This window comes from Homo sapiens, chromosome 12, assembly GCF_000001405.40.
Source record: "Homo sapiens chromosome 12, GRCh38.p14 Primary Assembly".
NCBI lineage: Eukaryota > Metazoa > Chordata > Mammalia > Primates > Hominidae > Homo > Homo sapiens.
The window spans coordinates 30,550,746-30,572,887 of NC_000012.12; the positions used below are offsets into that span (position 1 = coordinate 30,550,746).

The window sequence follows — 22,142 nt, forward strand, 5'->3', positions numbered from 1 at the left end:
TATACTTAGTCAATTTTTTGTTTAAAAGAACAAATCATTTCTGTGGTTTCTTTTAGCCATCTCTGCTAGTCACATACGCATACATACACATACACACACACACACACACACACACACACACTCAACTATAAACTATGATACATGCAGCCCTAGCTATGTGTCACTAAATAAATGCTGAAACTTTTTGCCAGGAGAACAAATACAATGTATTGTATTATATATACATATATATGTACACACATATATATATTATATTTATATACTATAATATAATATAGTGCTCTGAGGCATTTTCCCAATGCTTCTATTCAGGGATGCTTTATTTGATAAGGTAATAACAAAGTCTTCTAAGCCAAAGTCCATGTGATTTTACAGGTTCCGGTTTTGGCTATGATGAATCAGACAAAGAAGCTTAAAAGACAGCCAATCACATTGTTTAGGAGATGAGATGCTTCGAATGCTATTGCCTCTTGTCAGCAATCTACAGCAAGCAAGAACACCATAGCAAGAAAGCTACTCTTTGGTGTCATGTTTGGACTCAAAAGTAACAAAGATGTGAGCATAAACAATTCATAAATTTGCACCTTGAAAAGGCTGAGCAATCTTGAATATTGTCGATTGGCATATTATCCTGTCTTGTAGGAGCTTTTCACTGATATACTATCAAACTAAGAGTTTCCTCCGAAATAATAAGGCTTTTTAGCTCACCTATGAGCTAAAGATTTCATGTGGTATTATCTCATCTTGTTCTCAGCAATCTCTGTAATAGAGACTGATATTCGTGCATAGCATGCTTTGCCATCTCATGTTGATGTATTTAATCTTGATAACACTCCTGTGAAGTAGATGAACAGCCTTCTGTAGATGCTGTTATTATTTATCTCTGTTTTAAAAGCCACACAACTGGTAAATTCATGAATAAACTCAACAAATATTGTTCACTGTCTTATATTCAGCTTTTTATTATTCAGGGTCCCACTAGACATTCTGCGCATATCAGGAATTATATGATAAGAAGAAAAAAGACACTGCCTTTGTCCTCATGGAGCCTACAGTCCAGGAGGATCCAGACATTATAGAACTAATCACAAAACAAATAAAGAATTATAGCTGTGCTCACTGGTGTCATAAAGGGTGACATGGCTCCTAGGAAGCATATATTCAAGGGACCTAAATGGTCTAGGAGGTCTGGTTTTCCTGTGGAGTGATGTGGAGGTGAGGGCTGGGTATGAATAGGAGTTTTAGGGTAAGGAGGTGGCAAAACAGCATATGCAAAGGCCCTGTGGCAGCAGTAAGTGTCCTGTGTGAGAGATGGGCATGAGTGAGCAGGGGCATCGTGTGAGATGCAGATGCAGGGGTTTGGTGGGGACTGGACTCACAGAACTTGTGAGCCAGGCCAAGGGTTTTATATCTTTACTCGGACAAGGTTTGGGGTTCTAAAGAGAAGAGCAATGTGGTAAGGTTTGTCTTTGAAGGGATCTCTTGCTCTAATGTGGGCAGTGGGTGCTGGGGACAGAGCAGGCACCAGGAACCTGACAGGGCTGTTGGAGAGGTCCAGAGCAGGCCAAAGCTGACCCCAAATGCGTTTTCTTTCAAATATTTCTTTCACACAACCTTGCTGCACAGTGATCAGGGACATTTCATTGTCATGAATCTATAAATAGGAAACCTAGATTATAGGAGCATTATTAGGACTACATCAGTGCTCAATGAGAAAGTCAACAAGAATAAAGAATGCGAGTGTTTTGATGCTCACCCCACTATACTATTTCACAGACTGTGCCAGCTAATACATAGGAATAAGAATTATAAATCTTATTGTTTTAGCAGGTTTTCCTTTAGTCTGCTTTCATTCTGTCTTAATTTGCAACCTCTGCAGGCATTCTGGCTGAAATCAAACGACGCTGAAGTCATATCTGAGCTTTGGTTCACAAAAAGAAACTAAGAAAGCAAAATCTTGACAAAACTCTTGAAGCATGAACATTTAATTGAGTCAAGACATTACATTTATGAATTAATATTCCTTTAATCTTTAAACATATACAGTAAAATCTAACATCATTGACAGGTTTATCTAATGTATCTTTTGGTTAACTGACATTATGTTTTAAATTTGGTTTCATAATTGAGCCTTCAGTTTTTTATTATTCAGGGACCCACAGTATCTCAGGATTATCATTTTCAGTTTTCCCTTTCTGTTTGCCTACAAAAACCCTGTCTTCTAGCTCAGCAGCGCCTGAATATGTTTTGGGCATTGCTACCTCTGTGCCTGTTCATGTTCTTGGAACAGCCCACCCCACCCTGGCTTGACCACTGCTCATTCATGAAGCTGCACCTTGTTTCTTCCTTTCTTGGGAAGCTTTCCCTGACTACCCCAGCCACTTTGAGCTTGCTTCTGCAGAACTCTTTAAATACTGTCTATATCCATCATTTGAAAGTCACAATCTGTTGAATTGTGGTGTTAGGTCTCTCTATAACAATGTTTTATATCTTCCACTGCACTGGAAGTTCTTTAAGAAGAAAGACTGATTCTTTCTGTTTAAAACACTATGTCTTGCATCCAGTAGGTGTTTTATATCCACAGCATTAAAAATAAAAAGTATACATATTTTGCTCATTGATAAACACTTACAAATAGAGGCACCGTATGTTTTCCTTTTATTGGGCAAAGCCACTCCTTGGGCTCTATGATGTCTTAAAGTCATGCCAATTATATTTTGGACAAAACTTCAAGTTACAAAATTATGTCTGAAAATGAACAAGTGACTTTTGAAAAATAAATGCAAAGAAATTTGGAGAAAGTAAATTGAGGTTGAACCCTCAATAGAGACAACAATGCCAAATTTCAGATTGAAGTTATCTGGATATTCTCTCATCTGGTAAAAATTTTCAACATCGACCTTCTTAAGTTTTTTTACTAACATAATTTTATAATAAATTTATAAATATATACTATATGCATATATACATATGTAAACATGTTACTAAAATTATAAGGACTTAAAAAAAAGGCACTTGCTGATTGACCAATGGATCAAATAGTCTTACATGGAGGATAAATATATTTGAGTTAATAATAACAGCTAAAATGTGTTGGGTACTTACTACGTGACAGGCACTATTCTAACAGCTTTATATGTATTAACTAATTAAATGTTGATAACCACCCTATAAGTTAGATAATATTATTATCCTCATCTTACAAATAAACTAAGACACAAGAAGATTAAGTAACAGGCCCAACATCACAAGCTAATAAGTGACACAGTCAGGATTTTAGCCCATAGATTTAATTACTACACTATACTCCTTCTCTGGTTAAATATTAATTACTCCAAGAATACATACCCTGCAAGTTTAATCATTTCTTTTAATAGCACAGTTTTTTTATTATTTAGCTCTTTTAATGAAACTAACACAATAAAAGCGTGGACCAAAAAGAAAAAAACTTGGAGAGGGGTGGATAATGCTCTTCGAATATTTGAAGACATTTATTGTGGCAACAGAAATTTATTTTGTGTTGCTCTAAATAGATTTGGTATAAAACTAAAGCTGATAGTGGATACAGGAGGAATAAACATTTCAGCTTAAAATAAAGGATTTCCAGTCTTTATAGACTTTCTTTCATTAATGATCCAATCTTCTTTTAAGAACATTCAGCATCTTGTCATGGAGATACTTAAGCACAAGCCAGATGACCACATTATGATTAAATAAAAGATGTTACTAAATTGATGTTGAACTGTCCCTAGACAATAATTTTAGGATTTTTCTTTTCTTTCTTTTTTTTGCGGGGAGGGGGAGAGATAGAGTCTCACTTTGTCACCCAGACTGGAGTGGAGTGCAGTGGCATGATTTCGGCCCACTGCAACCTCTGCCTCCCAGGTTCAAGCGATTTTCCTGACTCAGCCTCCCAAATAGCTAGGACTACAGGTGCATGCCACTGTGCCTAGCTAATGTTTGTATTTTTTTTAAGTAGAGACAGGGTTTCACCATGTTGCCCAAGCTGGTCTCGAACTCCTGACCTCAAATTATCTGCCCGCCTTGGCCTCCCAAAGTGCTGGGATTACAGGCGTGAGCCACCACACCCAGCAATGTTAAGATTCTTAATGAGGAGTCAATAATGATGTAAATTTTTTCCAGGATCGAAATTTTTTTTTCAGGAAAAGCTCCATGGCATTGGATTTGGCAATAATTTCTTGGATATTGTAACAAAGGCACAGGTAACAAAAGAAAAATATATAAACAGACAACCAACAGAATGGGAGAAAATTTTTGCAAACTAGGCATTTGACAAAGTTATAATATCTGGCATCTATAAGAAACTTAAACAAATTTACAAGAAAAAAAACAAACAGACCCATTAAAAAGTGGGCAAAGGACATGAACAGACACTTCTCAAAAGAAGACATACATGTAGCCAACAAGCATATGAAAAAGAAGTTCAACATCACTGATCATTAGAGAAATGCAAATCAAAACCACAATGAGATACCATCTTACAACCATCGAAATGGCTATTGCTAAGAAGTCAAAAAATAACAAATGCTGGTGAGGTTGTGGAGAAAAAGGAACGCTTATACACTGTTGGTGGACATGTAAATTGCTTCAACCATTGTGGAAAACAGTGTGGCAATTCCTCAAAGGCCTAAAGATAGAAATACCATTTGACCCAGCAATCCCATTGCTGGGTATATGCCCAAAGGAAAACAAATCATTCCATTATAAAGACACATGCACACACATGCTCACTGCAGCACTATTCACAATAGCAAAGACATGGAATCAACCCAAATGCCCATCAATGATAGATCGGATAAAGAAAATGTGGTACATATATGGGATGGAATATTATGCAGCCATAAAAAAGAACAAGATCATGTCCTTTGCAGGGACATAGATGGAGCTGGTGGCCATTATCCTTAGCAAACTAACACAGAAACAGAAAAGCACATACATATGTTCTCATAAGTGGGAGCTAAATGATGAGAACACATGGACACATGCAGAGTAACAACACACACTGGGGCCTATCAGAGGGTGGAGGGTAGGAGGAGGGAGAAGATCAGGAAAAATAACTAATGGGTACTAGGCTTAATACCTGAGTGATGAAATAATCTATGCAACAAACTCTTATGACATATTTACATATGTAATAAACCTGTACCTCTACCCCTGAACTTAAAATATGTTTTTTTAAAAAGAAAAGAAAAATAGACATTGGACTTCATAAAAATCAAAACTTTTGTGCGTCAAAAGATGCTGTTAGCAGAATAAGAAGGCAACTCACAGAATCAAAGAAAAGTTTGTAAATAATATATCTGAAAAAAGATTAATATCAAAATATATATCGTGAACTTCTAAAACCCAACAACAAAAAAGCAAATAACCTGATTCAAAAATCGGCAAAGAACTTGAATAGACATTTCTCCAGAAAAGATATATGAATGGCCAACAAGCACATGAAGATGCTCAATTTCACTAATCATTGAAGAAATGCAAGTCAAAACTACGATGAGATAACCACCATACACCCCTTAGGATGACTACTAACAATGACAACAACAACAGCAACAAATAAAAATAAAAAACAGAAAATAACAAGTGTTGGCAAAGATGTGGAGAAATGAATTCTTGCGAACTGTGGTCAGATTCTAAGACGATGTAGCCTCTACGAAAAACAGAGTAGAGGTTCCTAAAAATAGAATTATAAATCAGCAATTACACTTCTGGGTACATATTCAAAAGAATTGAAAACAGGGTCTAGAAGAGATTTTGTATACACATATTCATAGCAGTATTATTCACAGTAACTTACACCTAGAAGTAACCCAAGTGTCCACTAACAGATAAATGGATAAGCAAAATGTGGTATATACATAACAATGAGGTATTATTTGGCCTTTAAAGGGAAGGAAATTCTGACACATGCTACAACATGGATGAAACTTGAAGACATTATGCAAAGTAAAATAAGCCAGTCACAAAAAGACAGATACTGTATGATTCTACTTAGAGGAGGTACCTAGAGTAGTCAAAATCATAGTGACAAAATGTAGAATGCTGGTTGCCAGGGCTGAGGGGAAGGGAAAATGAAGAGATATTATTTAATGAATACAGAGTTTCGGTTTTGTAAGATGAAAATATTTCATGCAAAGAAATCATACAAAAGAGATGGATTGTGGTGATGGTTGTACAGCATCATGAATGTACTTAATACTATTGAACTATGTACTTAAAAATGGTTAAGATGGTAAATTGTATGTTATGTGTATTTTACCACAATTAAAAAATGGGAAGAAACAATGATTTTTTTACCATCTCCATTATACTCAGTTTTTATAAGAGCTGAACAACAGTTTTCTTGCAGTCAAGGCCAGCAGGAAAAGATGCACTATAATAGAAATCCCCTGGATTCCCTGCAGATGTCTTCAGTCGCTTCGAGTCCACAAGATTAGCTCTGCAGGGAAATTACACATTCCATTTTCCTTTACTTTCAAATCAACAACCTGTCCTTACACATGGCATTTTGGAAAATTACAGTATCTGGTTTTCTGTTATTTGGGAAATAATGGAAAATAACAGTGATAATTATTGGATCAACTGTTTAAATGTTTGTGTGTGAAGAGAGTAATTTCCACAACCCTGTAGTGTTAAAGACATGTTCTTCTTTCCTAACTTGAAGATATTTCTTTTTTATTTAGAGCTATAAAGCAGCCATGGAACTAAATTTAGACCAAGTGCAGGCCTGTATGAACATGGTAGCATCCAAAACACCAGGATATAAAACACAATTCATTTCCATGTAAATGGAGTTTTCTCTTTGTGCTTTCTCTTTCTATATTTCTTCACTCTTAAATTATTAAAAACCTATATTCTCATTGAATTTTTTTTTTTTGAGACAGTGTCTTGTTCTGTTGCCCAGGCTGGAGCACAGTTGTGCAATCACGGCTCACTGTAACCTCCACCTCCCAGGCTCAAGCTACTTTCCCACCACAGTCTCCAAAGTAGCTGGGACTACAGGTGTATGCCACCACACTCAACAAATTTTAGCATTTTTTGTAGAGACAGGGTTTTGCCATGTTGCCCAGGCTGGTCTTGAACTCTTGAGCTCAAGCAATCCACTTGCCTTGACCTCCAAAAGTGCTGGGATTACAGGCATGAACCACCATGCCCAGCCACTCACTGAATTATTTGAAGACCAAAAACATAGATGTTTAAAAGTGAAATTAGCAGTTTTTACTCTGCTTTGTGCCATGTGGATGTTTGATGTCATAAATCCCTCTGTTATTAAAAAAAAAAGTGTAATAATGAGGCACCATGATTTTACTGATCACAATAGAATCATATGGGCTTTCAGGAAGTATCATTATACAGCAATTATGAACTAATTTACATAAACTAAAGGCCTGTTAGAGTTTACTTGGCTCATTTTCCTCACAGTTTTACTCAGATGTCAAGACTAAAGTACTATTTTAAGTACTATTGTCCTATTTCTTATATGTAATACATTTTTTCCTGACCTTTTACTGGTAAATAAACTTGCTCTCTTTTCCCCTTTTCTTCAAGAGAAAAACTAACCTTGATGAGTTTTTCAGCCAAGAAGGTCTGAGAAGTATTTTACTTTATCTAATAAAAGCAAAGATTAATCATTTTTTATTCATTTTTCTTTTCTCTGACTCAGTACTCAATACTTTCCCACTCCTAGCACTTCCCCTATCCTTTATCCCAGCATCTCTTCTCCACTGAAGCACAGATACTTCTGTTCATGGCCACCTCATCAGTAAAATCTGTCAATCCACCTGACCCTCAACCAGCATGCCTTTCCATGGGGAAAACTAGAACTGGGGTTGGTGGCGGGTTGGGAGTGGCGGGAAGGCCATGCTTTCTCCAGCTTAGACTCTTGATTATACTACAGCAATAAACGATTAAAGACTTGACTAGTACTTTTATAATCAGCTACTCCAACACCTGGCAGCTCAGCTCTCTCCAGCTCAGCCAAGCCCTTGAAAATTAAATAAATCAGATGGAGCCAGAGGACTCCAGGAAGATGGTGGAATAGGAAGTACAAGGAATCCATTTCTTACCTAGACAACAAACACACTGGCAGTATCTACCTGATGTAACAATTTTGGATCTCTATGGCATACTGAAGGCTTGCAACTTCCACAGGAAGCCTTGGGCAGTAAATTGCAGTTAATTTTGGTCAATTTCATCTCTTAGTTTAGCAGAGGCTACCCACTCCCCCACTCCCAGCCCTGTGGCAGGCAGCCATGACTGGTTCCTAGAATTGCTTGCATGCAGCTTATAGGACAGAAGGCAAGGAGGGCAATAAGGATCCTGTCCCCCAAATATCAGAATCTGTGATCGGATTACTGACGGTTGCTTCTAATAACAGAGTGCAAGACAGAGGTGGCCAGCCATTTTTGTACTCTTCCCAAACCCCCTATTATTGCAAGCCCCTATTTGTCTACTGGAAGTGATTTTCTGGGGTTTTAAAGGGCCAGGGCCCTTGTCCCACTTCATTTTTCTTTTTCCCCTTTTGAGAGCCAGGCATTAAGGACTAGGACATTTAATAGTAACTGCATACCTGAGAAGACCTTAAATTTTCACCTCAGCTGATCCTCAGCACAGAGACAATCTACAACAACCAAAACAAAACAAAAAACAGCAAACACTGGAGAAGATGGAGAATCTGATTTCCATAGATACCACATTATTAGACTCAAATGTCCAGTTTTCAATAACAGAAAACAATCACAAACTATACAAAGAAACAGAAAATTATGATTTATTTAGGGAAAAAAATAAACCAACAGTAACTGTCTCTGAGAAAGACCAAATAGCAGAATGACTAGACAAACTTTTAAACAACTGTCTTAAATATACTCAAGGAACTAAAATGTAGAGAAAATGAAAGAAACAAAATATGAACAACATGGAAATATCAATAAAGAGACAGAGATAGAGAACCTAAAAGGAAGCCAGAAGGGTATTCTAGAGCCAAAAAGTACAATAACTGAAATGAAAAATGCAGTAGAGGAATTAAAAGGCAGATTTGATCAGGAAGAAGAAAAAATAAGTGAATTGGAAGATTAAACATTTGAAATCATTAATTCTGAAGAATAGAAGGAAAAAAAGATTAAAGAAAAGTGAACAGAGCCCAAGAGACCTGTGGGATGCCATCAAGACAACCAACATATGCATTGTGAGAGTTCCAGAAGGAGAAGAGAAACAAAGATTATTTGAAGGAATAATGGCCTAAAACTTCCCAAATTTGATGAAAGACACCAAAAAAAAAAAAAACAGCTAATAAACTCAATAAACCCCAAGTGGGGTAAATTCAAAGACACCTAAATTGAGACCTATTACATTAAACTGTTGAAAGCCAAAGATAGAGAATCTTGAAAGCAGCAAGAGAGAAAGAAGTAACTCATCATATACAAGTGATCTTTAATATGGTCATCAACAGATTTCCCTTCAGAAATTTCGGAGATCAGAAGGCAGTTGGCTGATATATTCAAAGGGCTAAATCAAAAGGGCCATCTACCAAAAATCCTACATCTGGCAAAAACTGTCCTTCAAAAGTGACGGAGAAATTGAGACATTCCCAGATAAACAAAAGCCGAGGGAGTTTGTTACCAATATACTGCCCTGCAAGAAACCCCAAATGGTGTTCTCTTGGTTGACATAAAAGGACAACACACAGTAACTCAAAGCCATATGAAGAAATAAAGATCTCAGTAAAGGAAAACATAGGCAATTATGAAAGCTGGTATTATCGTAACAGTGATTTGTAACTCCACTTTTTGTTTTCTACATGATCTAAGAAATTAATACATTTAAAAAATTATTAATCTGAAATCTAGATTAATGTAATGTTGATTTGTAACTGCGCTACATAATTTAGGAGATAATGCATTTTACAAAAACAATTACTAGTTTATGTTTTTGGATAACTAATGGACATAGATGAAATCTGGTGACATCAATAACTAAAAGGGGAGGGGACAGAGCTGCAAATGAATACAGTAGATATTAAATGTAATCCCCATGGTAACCACAAAGAAAATCAACTAAATACAGTAATCAACTAAAAAAACAGTAATGCAGGAAATGAGGCACAAAAAGCTATAAGGCATATTGAAAATAAACAGCAAAATGACAGAATTTCCATCTTATCAGTAATTACTTTAGATATAAATGAATTAAATTTTCTAATCAAAAGGCAGAGATTAACAGAATGAGTAGGAAAACATGATCTAACTTTAGCTGTCTACAAGAGACTCGCTTTAGAACCAACGGCACAAATACATTGAATGTGAAAGAATGGGAAACGTTATTCCATGCAAATAGTAACCAAAGAGAGCAGAAGTGGCTACACCAATATCAGACAAAATGGACTTTAAATTTAAAATTTTATGAGACAATGGACATTAGCAAATGCTTCATTACAGCAAGAAGCTATAACAATCATAAAAATTTATGCACCTAATAACAGTCCATCAGAATATATGGGCGATAAAATGATAGAATTTAAGGAAGAAATAGACAACTCTACAATATTTGGAGACTTCAGTACCCCCATTCTCAATAACAGATAGAACAATCAGACAGAAGATAAGTAAGGAAAAAGAGAACTTAAACAACACAATAAATCAACTATATCTAATAGATATATCCAGGACACTCTACCCAGTAACAATGAGAGGTGACAGCGTGCTGGCAGTCCTCAGAGCCCTCGCTTGCTCTCAGCACCTCCCCTGCCTGGGCTCCCACTTTGGTGGCATTTGAGGAGCCCTTCAGTCCCCCACTGCACTGTGGGAGCCCCTTTCTGGGCTGGCCAAGACCGGAGCCCACTCCCTCAGCTTGCAGGGAGGCGTGGAGGGAAAGACACGAGCGGGAACCGGGGCTGTGTGCGGCACTTGCGGGCCAGCTGGAGTTCCGGGTGGGCCTGGGCTTGGTGGGCCCCGCACTCAGAGCAGCCAGCCGGCCCTGCTGGCCCCGGGCAATGGGGGACTTAGGACCCGGGCCAGTGGCTGCGGAGGGTGTACTGGGTCCCCCAGCAGTGCCGGCCCACCGGCACTGCACTCGATTTCTCGCCGGGCCTTAGCTGCCTTCCCACGGGGCAGGGCTCGGGACCTGCAGCCCGCCATGCCTGAGCCTCCCACCCCCTCTGTGGGCTCCTGTGCGGCCGAGCCTCCCCGACGAGCACCACCCCCTGCTCCATGGTGCCCAGTCCCATCGACCACCCAAGGGCTGAGGAATGCGAGCACACGGCGCAGGACTGGCAGGCAGCTCCACCTGCAGCCCGGGTGCGGGATCCACTAGGTGAAGCCAGCTGGGCTCCTGAGTCTGGTGGGGACGTGGAGAGTCTTTATATCTAGCTCAGGGATTGTAAATACACCAATCAGCACCCTGTGTTTAGCTCAAGGTTTGTGAGTGCACCAATCGACATTCTGTATCTAGCTGCTCTGGTGAGGACGTGGAGAACCTTTATGTCTAGCTCAAGGATTGTAAATACACCAATCGGCACTCTGTATCTAGCTCAAGGTTTGTAAACACACCAATCAGCACCCTGTGTTTAGCTCAAGATTTGTGAGTGCACCAATCGACACTCTGTATCTAGCTGCTCTGGTAGGGCCTTGGAGAACCTGTGTGTGGAAACTCTGTATGTAACTAATCTGATGGGGACGTGGAGAACCTTTGTATCTAGCTCAGGGATTGTAAATGCACCAATCAGCGCCCTGACAAAACAGGCCACTCGGCTCTACCAATCAGCAGGATGTGGGTGGGGCCAGATAAGAGAATAAAAGCAGGCTGCCTGAGCCAGCATTGGCAACCCGCTCAGGTCCCCTTCCACACTGTGGAAGCTTTGTTCTTTCGTTCTTTGCAATAAATCTTGCTACTGCTCACTCTTTGGGTCCACGCTGCTTTTATGAGCTGTAACACTCACCGCGAAGATCTGCAGCTTCACTCCTGAGCCCAGCAAGACCACGAGCCCACCGGGAGGAACGATCAAGTCCAGACGCGCTGCCTTAAGAGCTGTAACACTCACCGCGAAGGTCTGCAGCTTCACTCCTGAGCCAGCGAGACCACGAACCCACCAGAAGGAAGAAACTCCAAACACATCTGAACATTAGAAGGGACAGACTCCAGACGCGCCACCTTAAGAGCTGTAACACTCACTGCGAGAGTCCGCGGCTTCATTCTTGAAGTCAGTGAGACCAAGAACCCACCAATTCCGGACACAACAACACACATTCTTCTTAAGCGCATATCGGACATTTTCCAGAATAGATCACATATTAGGTCACAACTTAAGTCTCAATCGATTTAAAAAAAAATAGCTATCATATAAAGGATCATCTCCTATCAGGATGAGGTTCAAAATCAATAGGAAAGCAGGAAAATTCACAAATGTATGTAAATTAAATAACACACTCTTAGCCAATGGATCAAAGAAATCACAAGAGAAATTAGAAAGTACTTAGAGATGAATAAAAACAAATGCACAACACAATAATCTAGATTATGACCTCAACAAATGCTCATTATTATTATCATTGTTAGATCATTATTGGCATTACTGTGTTCAAAAGCAAGCTGGAGAACATGGCAAATCACCATATATTAAAGAGTTGGGAAATCCATGTGTCCTGCTGACACTGGAAAAGAGGCTAGAATCAAATTTGCAGGTAGCCCAAACCCTGAAAAATTGGTTAGGGTCTGGAAGGACTTCATCAGGTGGGACACAGCAAAAGCAGTAGTAAGGAGGAAATTTATAGCTATAAGCACATTAAAAAAATAAGAAAAATCAGAAAGTAGGGACATTACTACCAATTACACAAAATGTAAAGAGGGGTATAAGACAGTAACATGAATAATTATACAGCAACAAATTGAATAACTTAGATGAAATGGACAAATCCTAGAAACCCAAAACCTACTGAGACTGAATCAAGAAGATATAGAAAATCTGAATAGCCTATAACTAATAAGGAGATTGAAGTAGTAATCAAAAATCAAAAATCAAAGAAAAGCTTTGGGCCTGATGGCTTCACAGGTGAATTCTACCAAACATTTAAATCACTAATCCTAATCGTTTTCAAATTCTTCCAAAATTTGAAAAGGATGGAACACTTCTTAACTCATCCTATGAGGTCAGCATTACCTGGATACCAAAGCCAGACAAAGACATTACAAGAAAAGAGAGGTATAGACCAATGTCCCTTATGATGGAGGCCTTGCTTTCACATCAGCAGTGACATAACCAATGAAGCTTCTCTTTCACTCCGAGTTCAGGGTGGCACATTTTCTGAAACATGCTCACAAGCTTGGTGCTGAGAGATGAGAGATTCGCAATTTTTTTTGGCAGAAGATATAAAGAACAACTAGGGAGAGAGGAGGAAACAAAAATTAATGTTGTGTCCATTTATGCTTGGTTTCATTTATACCCTTCTCTGCACTTGCAACCTGGGGATCTATTTCTATTTCTTAGCCATTAATGTCCACAATACAAAAGCTTGGAATGTTACAGAGCCAGAGCAGCTATTCTTGAATGGGTGAGATAGTTCAAAAAAGGAAAATCCTGCAGAGGTGAACCAATTGAAGAATGCTACCAAGAGGAGGCTAAGTTGATTCTCCAGAACCATACAATACTTGGGACATATGTATACTTAAAAAAAAATTATTGTTTATCTAAAATTCAAATGTAACAGGGTACTCTATTTTTCATTTGTTTGTTTGTTGCTAAATCTGGCACTCTTCCTTCAGCTGGGAACATTCACCCATAAGTTTGTCACTTTTGTCCCATGCCATGGGATGACTGGATGGGGAAGGGTTGAGTCAGCAAATATGTGTTACATTCGTGGTTGGAGTCTGGCTCTAGGGACGATATGAAAGAAGTCAGCTACATCACCCTATCATTTAATACTTGGGACCTGGAGGGCTTGTACAGTGCATTCCTTATACATGGTGAGCACTCCAGAAATCTTTGTAGATGCTTGAAGGAATGAATGATATTGTGGGTTTTTATAAGATTGCTACATCGGTGACGTGTAGGATACAGACTTGCAGATCTTAATGATTTCAGAGTGTTGTTAGAGAGCTGGATGATACTAGTAATAGAGTTTTTATTGGAATAAAGACTTTCTGCAAAGAGATAAGAATTCCATTTTGAGGGAAATAAGTCTGCTTGAACTAAAGGATCATAATAGTTTGGCATCTGTCCCACTGCAATTTTATGGAAAGAAGCTGCAGTTACTGACCCATTATTCTTTTTTTTCTATATAAAGGAAATTTGCCACTCCTTCATAAGTGGTATCCAAATGGAAGGGCTTGCAATTAAGAAGGAAAGTGCTGATCTGAGTATTTATGAAGTCTGCATCAGATTTTGAGCACAGGTCATCAGTTGAATTGGGTTTCAGGCCCAACAAAGTTGGTACCACACTGCTATTCACCAGTCTTTTTGAAAATATGTTCAACTCAAGTAAATTCATTCTTACTTATGGAAAACTGCATACTCCAGTGGGAGATACTGGGGTGGATAAAGATTCATGAGACAAAAAGTCTGCCATGAAGAAGTTTATAGAGCACTAGATTCCATGCATTTGGCCTGCTCAAGCACATCCCTCCAGTAATGTCCCCTTCACTTCTGACATTGTCACCATCATTTTTTGCTCTCTTCTGGATTGCTTCCATCAGTATACAAACATGCTGCTATTGCTCCTGTTCTGTAATTAAAACAAAACTTTCTCTGGACCCCACTTCCTCTGCCAGCTACTGCTCTATTTCTTTTCACTAAAACTCCTAAAAAGATTTTGCTAAACTCAGTGCTTCCAATTCTTCATCTTCTGTTCTCTCTCAAACCCACCCAGACTTTCCATCTACCTATCTCCGGTCCTCTGATACTATTCCAGTTAAGGTCACCAATTCTTCCATGCTGCTAAATTCAGTGGCAATTCCCAGCTGAAAATTTCATCAATTTAATAGCAGTATTTGAAATGGCTCATCACTACCCTTCCCTGGAGCACTTTGTTCACTTAACTTCTAAGACCACATACTCTCTCAGCTTTCTTTCTTATCCCTTAGGTTTGGGCTGCAATAACATTGCACAACAAATAATCCCAAAATCTTAATGGCTTGCAAAGACCACCATTCCATTTCTCACACACGGGTCTGATGGTTGGTTGTGGCGCAGCTGATCTTGGTTGGCTGAGCTGGGCCAGGTTGAACTCTAGCTTCCGGTTCTGCTCTATAGCCCTACATCCTAGGACCCAGGCTAGGCAGACAGCAATTTCTTGGAATGTGCTATTCTCATTACAGATTATGGAGGCACAGGAGAGGTGAACAGAAATAAGCAACACTTCTTGAGATCTTGGCTTAGAACAGGCACATCGTCGATTCCACCAATATTTCACCACGAGAGCAAGTCACATGGCTAAGCCCAGTACTAAATGAGGTGAAAAAACAGTCTGCCAACTCCAGTCAGATTCATGCAAGTCATGGGACAAAGGGTGTGGACATATAATTCTACTACAGGTAAGAAGTGGAGAATTAGGGCAATGATAAAATCTACCACATCGTTGTATGTCACTGGCTGCTTCTTCTTAGATTCTTTATTTTTACTTTATTATTATTATTTATAGAGACAGGGTCTTGCTAATAGCCCCACTGCAGCCTCAAACTCCTGGGCTCAAAGTGATCCTCCCACCTCAGCCTCCTGAGTAGCTGGAACTACAGATGTACACCACCACACTCACTCAACATTACCAATATTCTTTACTGGTTCAATATCTTCTCATTAACCTCTTTATTTTGAAGCTTGCAAGAGCTGTTTTAGTCCTCTTTCTCTTCTCCATCTGTGCTCATTCTTTTATTGATTTACTCTAGTCCCATGACTTTAAATACTATCTATATGCTGAAAACTTACAAATCCCTATCTTCAACTCAGACCTCTCTCTAAAATTACAGATTTGGGTACTACCACTAGAACGTTTAACATCTCAAACTCAACATGTCCAAGAGGAAACCTGGAACCCCAGTCTTCCTCCCATCCCCAAACCTGCAGCCTTCACATCTCAGTTGACAGCAGCTCCATCTTTTCCATTGCTCAAATCATAAACCTTGGCATCATCCTTGACTCCTCTATTTCATGCCCATGTTCATTTCATCTTTAAACAGATCTTGAATTTGACTTCTTCTTACCACTCCCAGTGTCACCATCCTAATTGAACCTAACATCACCTCTCTTGCCTAGACTATTGCAATTGCCTCCTAATTGGGCTCTCTGCTTCCACTCTTTGCCACAGTATAATCTATTCTCTATCACTAGAGTGATCTTTTTAAAAACCAAGTCAGATCATAACATTTTGTTGCTTAAAACCCTCTAATGGCTTACAATAAAATCTAAACACCTTAAGATGACTTACATGATATGGCCCTTCCCTGCATCTCTGAAGTCCTCTCCTGCCACACTCCCCTGTGAGCACTGTGCTCCAACAACACTGACCTTTTCTTGTTCCTCAAACATGCAAACCATGCCCAGCCTCAGGGACTTTGCCCTTGTAGATCCCAGACTGACACACGCTTCCCCAGATACCTAGCTGGTTCCTTTCTCCACACCAAGTTTCTGCTCAAATTTCCCTTCCTTAGAAAAAACTTCCATCACAATCCTGTCTACAAGTCTACTTTCCATTTCTCTCAATCCCACAGCCTGCTTTATTTACCTTCATAGCACTCATCATTACATAAATGTGTATCATATACATAATTGCTAATGTGTGTTGCCTGTCTCCCCTACTAGAATATAGGCTCTATGTGGTCAGGGACACACCTCATCATACACTGAGCTCCTAGTTGAAGCTGCCAACAACATAAGTACAGGCAGTGTCACTATAGAGTTTTGTACTTTTTAATATACCGTCTGTATAGCTTAGGAATATATTCTATAATGATAAAAACTCCAAATCACAATTCTTTAAATAAATGGATGTATTTGTCTCACATAACAAGAAGCCTAGGTAGACTGTTCCTGGCAGCAGAACTTCAGTGGGCCCTCAGGGACCTCAGCATTGTCCTTCTTTCTATTCCATTGTGCTGACAATGTTGGTTCTTGTCTGTGTGTTGCCCCACAGTAGCAAAGATGGCTGCCCCTCCTCAAGCCTCAATTTATACTCCAGGCAGGAAGAATAAGGAAGTAGCAAAAAGCTGTAGGGCTTTTTGTTGGGTAGGATTTGAAGGTAAAGTGCCATAAGGTGAAAGATGACTGCAATTCATTGAACTTGTTGGAGTCAGAGTCCACCTCAGGCTCCCAGTGTTCAGGGAGACTGGAGGGCTTGTTTCCTGAAGAAACTAGCAAAGTGAAGCTCAGTTGTCATGGCAACCCACCAATCAACTTTTGCTGCCCTTGCTTTTTATAATTACTTCTTAAAACTCTTCTTTGTATAAATTCCTATTTTTCAGGACAGTAATTAGCAAATGTTAAGAATATGATGAAAACAGGCCAGTTGCAGTGGCTCACGCCTATAATCCCAACACTTTGGGAGGCTGAGGCAGGCGGATCACTTGAGGTCAGGAGTTTGAGACCAACCTGGCCAACATGGTGAAACCCCATCTCTATTGAAAATACAAAAATTAGCCAGATGTGGTGGCATGCACCTGTAATCCCAGCTACTCAAGAGGCTGAGGCACAAGAATTGCTTGAACTCAGAAGGTGGAGGTTGCAGTGAGCTGAGAGTGTACCACTGCACTTCAGCCTGAGCAACAGAGCAAGGCTCTGTCTCAAAACAACAACAACAACAAAAGAATATGATGAACAAAGTTAGTAAACTTCATGAGAAAACTGAATATATTTTGTGTGCTTTGTAGCATGCAACAGCTGAGTAAATATACTGATGTACTTGGGAACCAAGGTTCTCATTGTAGTTGCCAGTAATATCAATATATTTACTCATTTGTTTTATCCTACAAATATGTAAATTTAGAAAGACCAAAGCTAAGAAATTTTCCAGTAGGTTTTTTTTGAATTGTAGGTACCAATTTGAACTCAAATTTTTGAAAGTGTTCTCAATTACCAAATTAATTCATTGGATTTTTTTAAAAGGAACCCAAGAGTCTACAAAGAGAATGGGGTGGGATGAAGTGCTGTTCAAACTTCATAACAGAATAACACCTTTCACATTCCTGTAAAAGGAATGATAGAATTCAAAATCACCATTTTTCAGTCTCCCATGTAAGCACTGATTTAGGCAAGGATCATCAATGGATACTAAAACCATTCTGCAGAACAGGATATTCATCAATATTCTCCAAGTGTTATTTCACAGGTAATTATTTATTAATTTATTAGTACTATAAATTTCAAAGGTGAAATGTTACCCTTACTATGAAGAGATCTCTCCAGCACCACCCCAGTAAAGAAATCTAATGTAGAATAGATTTGTATTCTGCAACAGTAGCACACACTACCAATAATAGGACACACTGACATTATGTACCTCTTAATGTAATAGAATAAGAAACACACAATCTCACCTAAGTATTCTCGCCAAAAATGTTTAACTTGAATTCCGAACACAATGAAACAATCAGAAAATTTAAATTGTGGGACATTCTATAAAGGAAGTGACCTGAATTTGCCAAAATGTCAATCTTATGGAAGATTATTTATTTAAAAAAAGAAAGATTGGAGGAATGTTCAAGATCAGCAGTTCTTAAAGTGTGATCTATAAATCCCTGGGGGTACTTGAGACTAAAAAAAACAGAAAGTCAAAACTATTTGTATAAAAAGGTTAATAGGTTATTTGCCTTTTTCACTGTGTGGACATTTGCAGCGATGGTACAGAAGCAATGGGAGTAAAATTGCTGGCATCTTAGCATGAACCGGGTCAAGACCACGGCACCACACTGTACTAGTAGTCATTGTATTCTTTACCACCAGGCACTTTTCATGAATTCTGTTTTCATTTTTAATTTTTGTGAGTACATAGTAGGTATATGTGTTTATGGGGTACATGAGATGTTTCGATACAGACATGCAATGTGTAATAATCACTTCATGGAAAATAGGGTCTCCATCCCCTCAAGCATTTACCCTTTGTGTTACAAACAATCTGATTATAGTCTTTTCATTATTTTAAAGTGTACAATTAAATTACTACTGATGATAGGCACTCTGTTGTGCTATCAAATAGTAGGTCTTATTCATTCTTTCTAACTAAATTTTTTGTACCTATTAACCATCCCCACCCCCACTACCCCCACTACCTGCCCCCCTCCCACCCCCAACTAGCCTTCCCAGCCTCTGGTAACCATCCTTCTACTCTGTCTCCATGAGTTCAGTTGCTATGATTTTAGATCCTACAAATAAGTGAGAATATGCCATACTTGTCTTTCTATGCCTGGTTTATTTCACTTAACATGAAAGTGTGGTCTGTGGATCCCTGAGGGTCCTTGAAACTAGGGAGAACACAAGGTCAAAATTATTTATATACTGAAGTTAAGTTTCTAACTCAAGCATACATATTTTTAACATTCTGTGTGGTAAAGTGGAAAGTACACATAAAGCACTTTTGCAAAGCAAAGAGCAATGGCTGTCCTAAGGAAAAGTACTTGTATAACCGAACTGCTGGCTGAGCCAGCCACTTGTATTCATGGAGCACAATTTTTATGTGAAAGAACTACTGACAAACACATGGTTTTTTGGACTGAGATATTTGGCAGACACTTTCTCAAAAATAAACAAACTAAGCCTGTCACCAAGGAAATCACTGACAGTGTTTATTGCCAATGATAAAATTCTAGTTTTCAAGCAAAAATTAGAATTTTGGAAAAATCGCACTCATCCTCATATTTATTTGTATTCATCAGCTTTTCAATGCTTAAAGACTCTTAGTGAGATTGATGGTGATATCAATGCATGTGATTTTTTTATCTGGAATAATGAAAAGTGCTAACATTGCAAAAATCTGCACAATTCAGTCAACTGATATTTTCCAAATGGCTAACGCATGATGTTTTATCCATGCATGTATGAAAGCGGCACTCACAGTGCAAAATAACCAACGGTTTTTAATGTAACAGAGTATGAAAAGTTTATTAGTATGGTTTCAGATTCCATACTGCAGTTAACTTTTCAGTAACACTTTTTAACTTTTCAGTAACCTTCACTAACATTTATGGAGTATTCACTACATACCAGACACTGTACAAGGTAGCTTACATACTGTGCCATAACAATTTAGATTTTTAACAAGCCTGTGATGGGATTCCACCTCAAAAACAATGGGAAAGAAGAGTAATATGGAGTTTGTTGAGAGAGGAGAGTCTTATTATGGGTTGAGAAATGCTTTAGATGCAAAGCAGAAAAAAGGAAAGGGTAAAAGAGTATAATAAGATGTTAAATTAAAATTTTTAACTGAGGCGCCAAAATATAATACTTACCAGATTCTAACAGAGTGCAAGGCAAACCATAACAATGTGGCAATTTCAAAGAGTTGAAAGTGTACAGATGCAGAGGAAACCCTCAATGTATTTCTTTGGAGAAAAAACATTGGTGCATTTTGGCTCCCACCTTTATGGAGGAGGAATGCGTGCTCTTCCCTCAGCTCAAACCTAGGGCTAAAAGCTTCAACAGGATCACTTGGAGAACTTCCTATGTTCCTTGCAGTGGTGAGGGCAAAAGGGACTGTGCCTGACTCACAAGAGGGACAGCCAAAGTGGCCTGGCATACCAGAATGGAGGGCTATGTGGAAAGCAGCCTGATGCCTCGAAATTGGTCAGGGCAAGGGATGCAAGAATGCTTCCCAGGGACCAGATGCAAACCATGAGGAAGTGGGTGACCTGGAGTCACTTTGACTACTGCCTAAGAGGACAATGGGAATCCGACAGTGAACATCTGTGCGGAAGAACCTGTCAGAAAAATGAAGGCCAAGGAAGAGAATTGTGGAAAAGAAAGTGAACACATCACCCATGCCAAAAAAGTTGTATTGGGACAGTTGTAACCAAAAAAACCAGGAAGACACCCATAAGAATCAGTTTTAGACATCTGCCAAGGCCAGACAGTTCAAAGCCATCTTATGATAGTACCATCCAGGTAAGAGCTTCCTGCCTCCCTTTCGCTGCCCCCCTCCCCATGTTTTGGAAGGAGGTTACTGGAGGGAAAAGAGGCTAACTGCCTCACCCTCCCAGGAGCACAGGTGCCTGTGCTGGGAAGGGAAAAGGGAGAGATTCTTATCTTTCGAAGTTTGCTTGATACACCGAACTTGACATCCTAATCTATGAATCTTCAGGACTGTGAAGCCTTTTAGGATGTGAGCTTCAGGAAGAAATGCACAATGAAGTCCCGGGAGTTTCCAAATAACACCAAACTTTGCCAAGTAGTGAAGAGCTAGACAGAAGGATGAGGACAGACCATGGAACAAGTCTGTAGGGAAAGGCGATACATTATGCTCAGGGTGGAAGACTCACTGGCCTAGAATTCTCTCCGGGATTTTTCTTGTAAACCCAGGTTTCCTGGAGCACTGGCATATGGCCCAATTTTGAGGAATGTTGCACTATCCACAGTCCTTTTCTTGGGGTTTTATAAGTGTTCAGAGGTGGCTTTATCATGTAACCCTGATAATATGGGCACAACTCACCAAAAAACAAACCAACGAACAAAGAAAAACACATCTGGCTCTTGACCAAAGATGCTCTAAAAAATTCAGAACCTCCCTCGTGGGAATTCTAAGGGCCTTCTAAATTAGAAAGCAATTCATCAATCAATTGTATCCTCTCCCCTGGGGTGCTTAAACGGCAGAAATACAGAGGGTGTGGTCTGTGTATAGAGAGAGGAAGATGAAGAAATGTAGAGTAGAAAGGTAAATAGAAGGCATGACTTGGAGAGCCAGGTTTGGGCAATCCATTAGAAAGAAAAAGCGAAAGAAAGAGAATCCAAGTACTGAATCCAAGAAAAGTGACTTTTAAATCTGGGGTTGATCACCAGAATGACTACCAGACTATTTGACCTGCCACTGCATTCTGAATGGTAGTAAATGAGGCTTCTATTGTCCTTAGGTGCAGGAGATTAGATTTTCTTTTCCCTTGACTTTCTTTCTCCATCAAGTCCTTCAATAAACCCCCATTGATTGAGGTCATTG

At 39.1% G+C, this 22,142-nt stretch overlaps 1 long non-coding RNA gene across 1 annotated transcript in view; it reads right to left on the reverse strand.

The window, feature by feature from the left end:
• Window positions 1-12,219: 12,219 nt before the first annotated feature.
• Window positions 12,220-22,142, reverse strand: part of LOC105369719 (uncharacterized) — a 39,196-nt gene continuing 29,273 nt past the window's right edge. The window contains exon 3 of the long non-coding RNA XR_001749069.1: window positions 12,220-13,394. This is a non-coding gene — a long non-coding RNA (uncharacterized LOC105369719). The remainder of the gene's footprint in view (window positions 13,395-22,142) is intronic.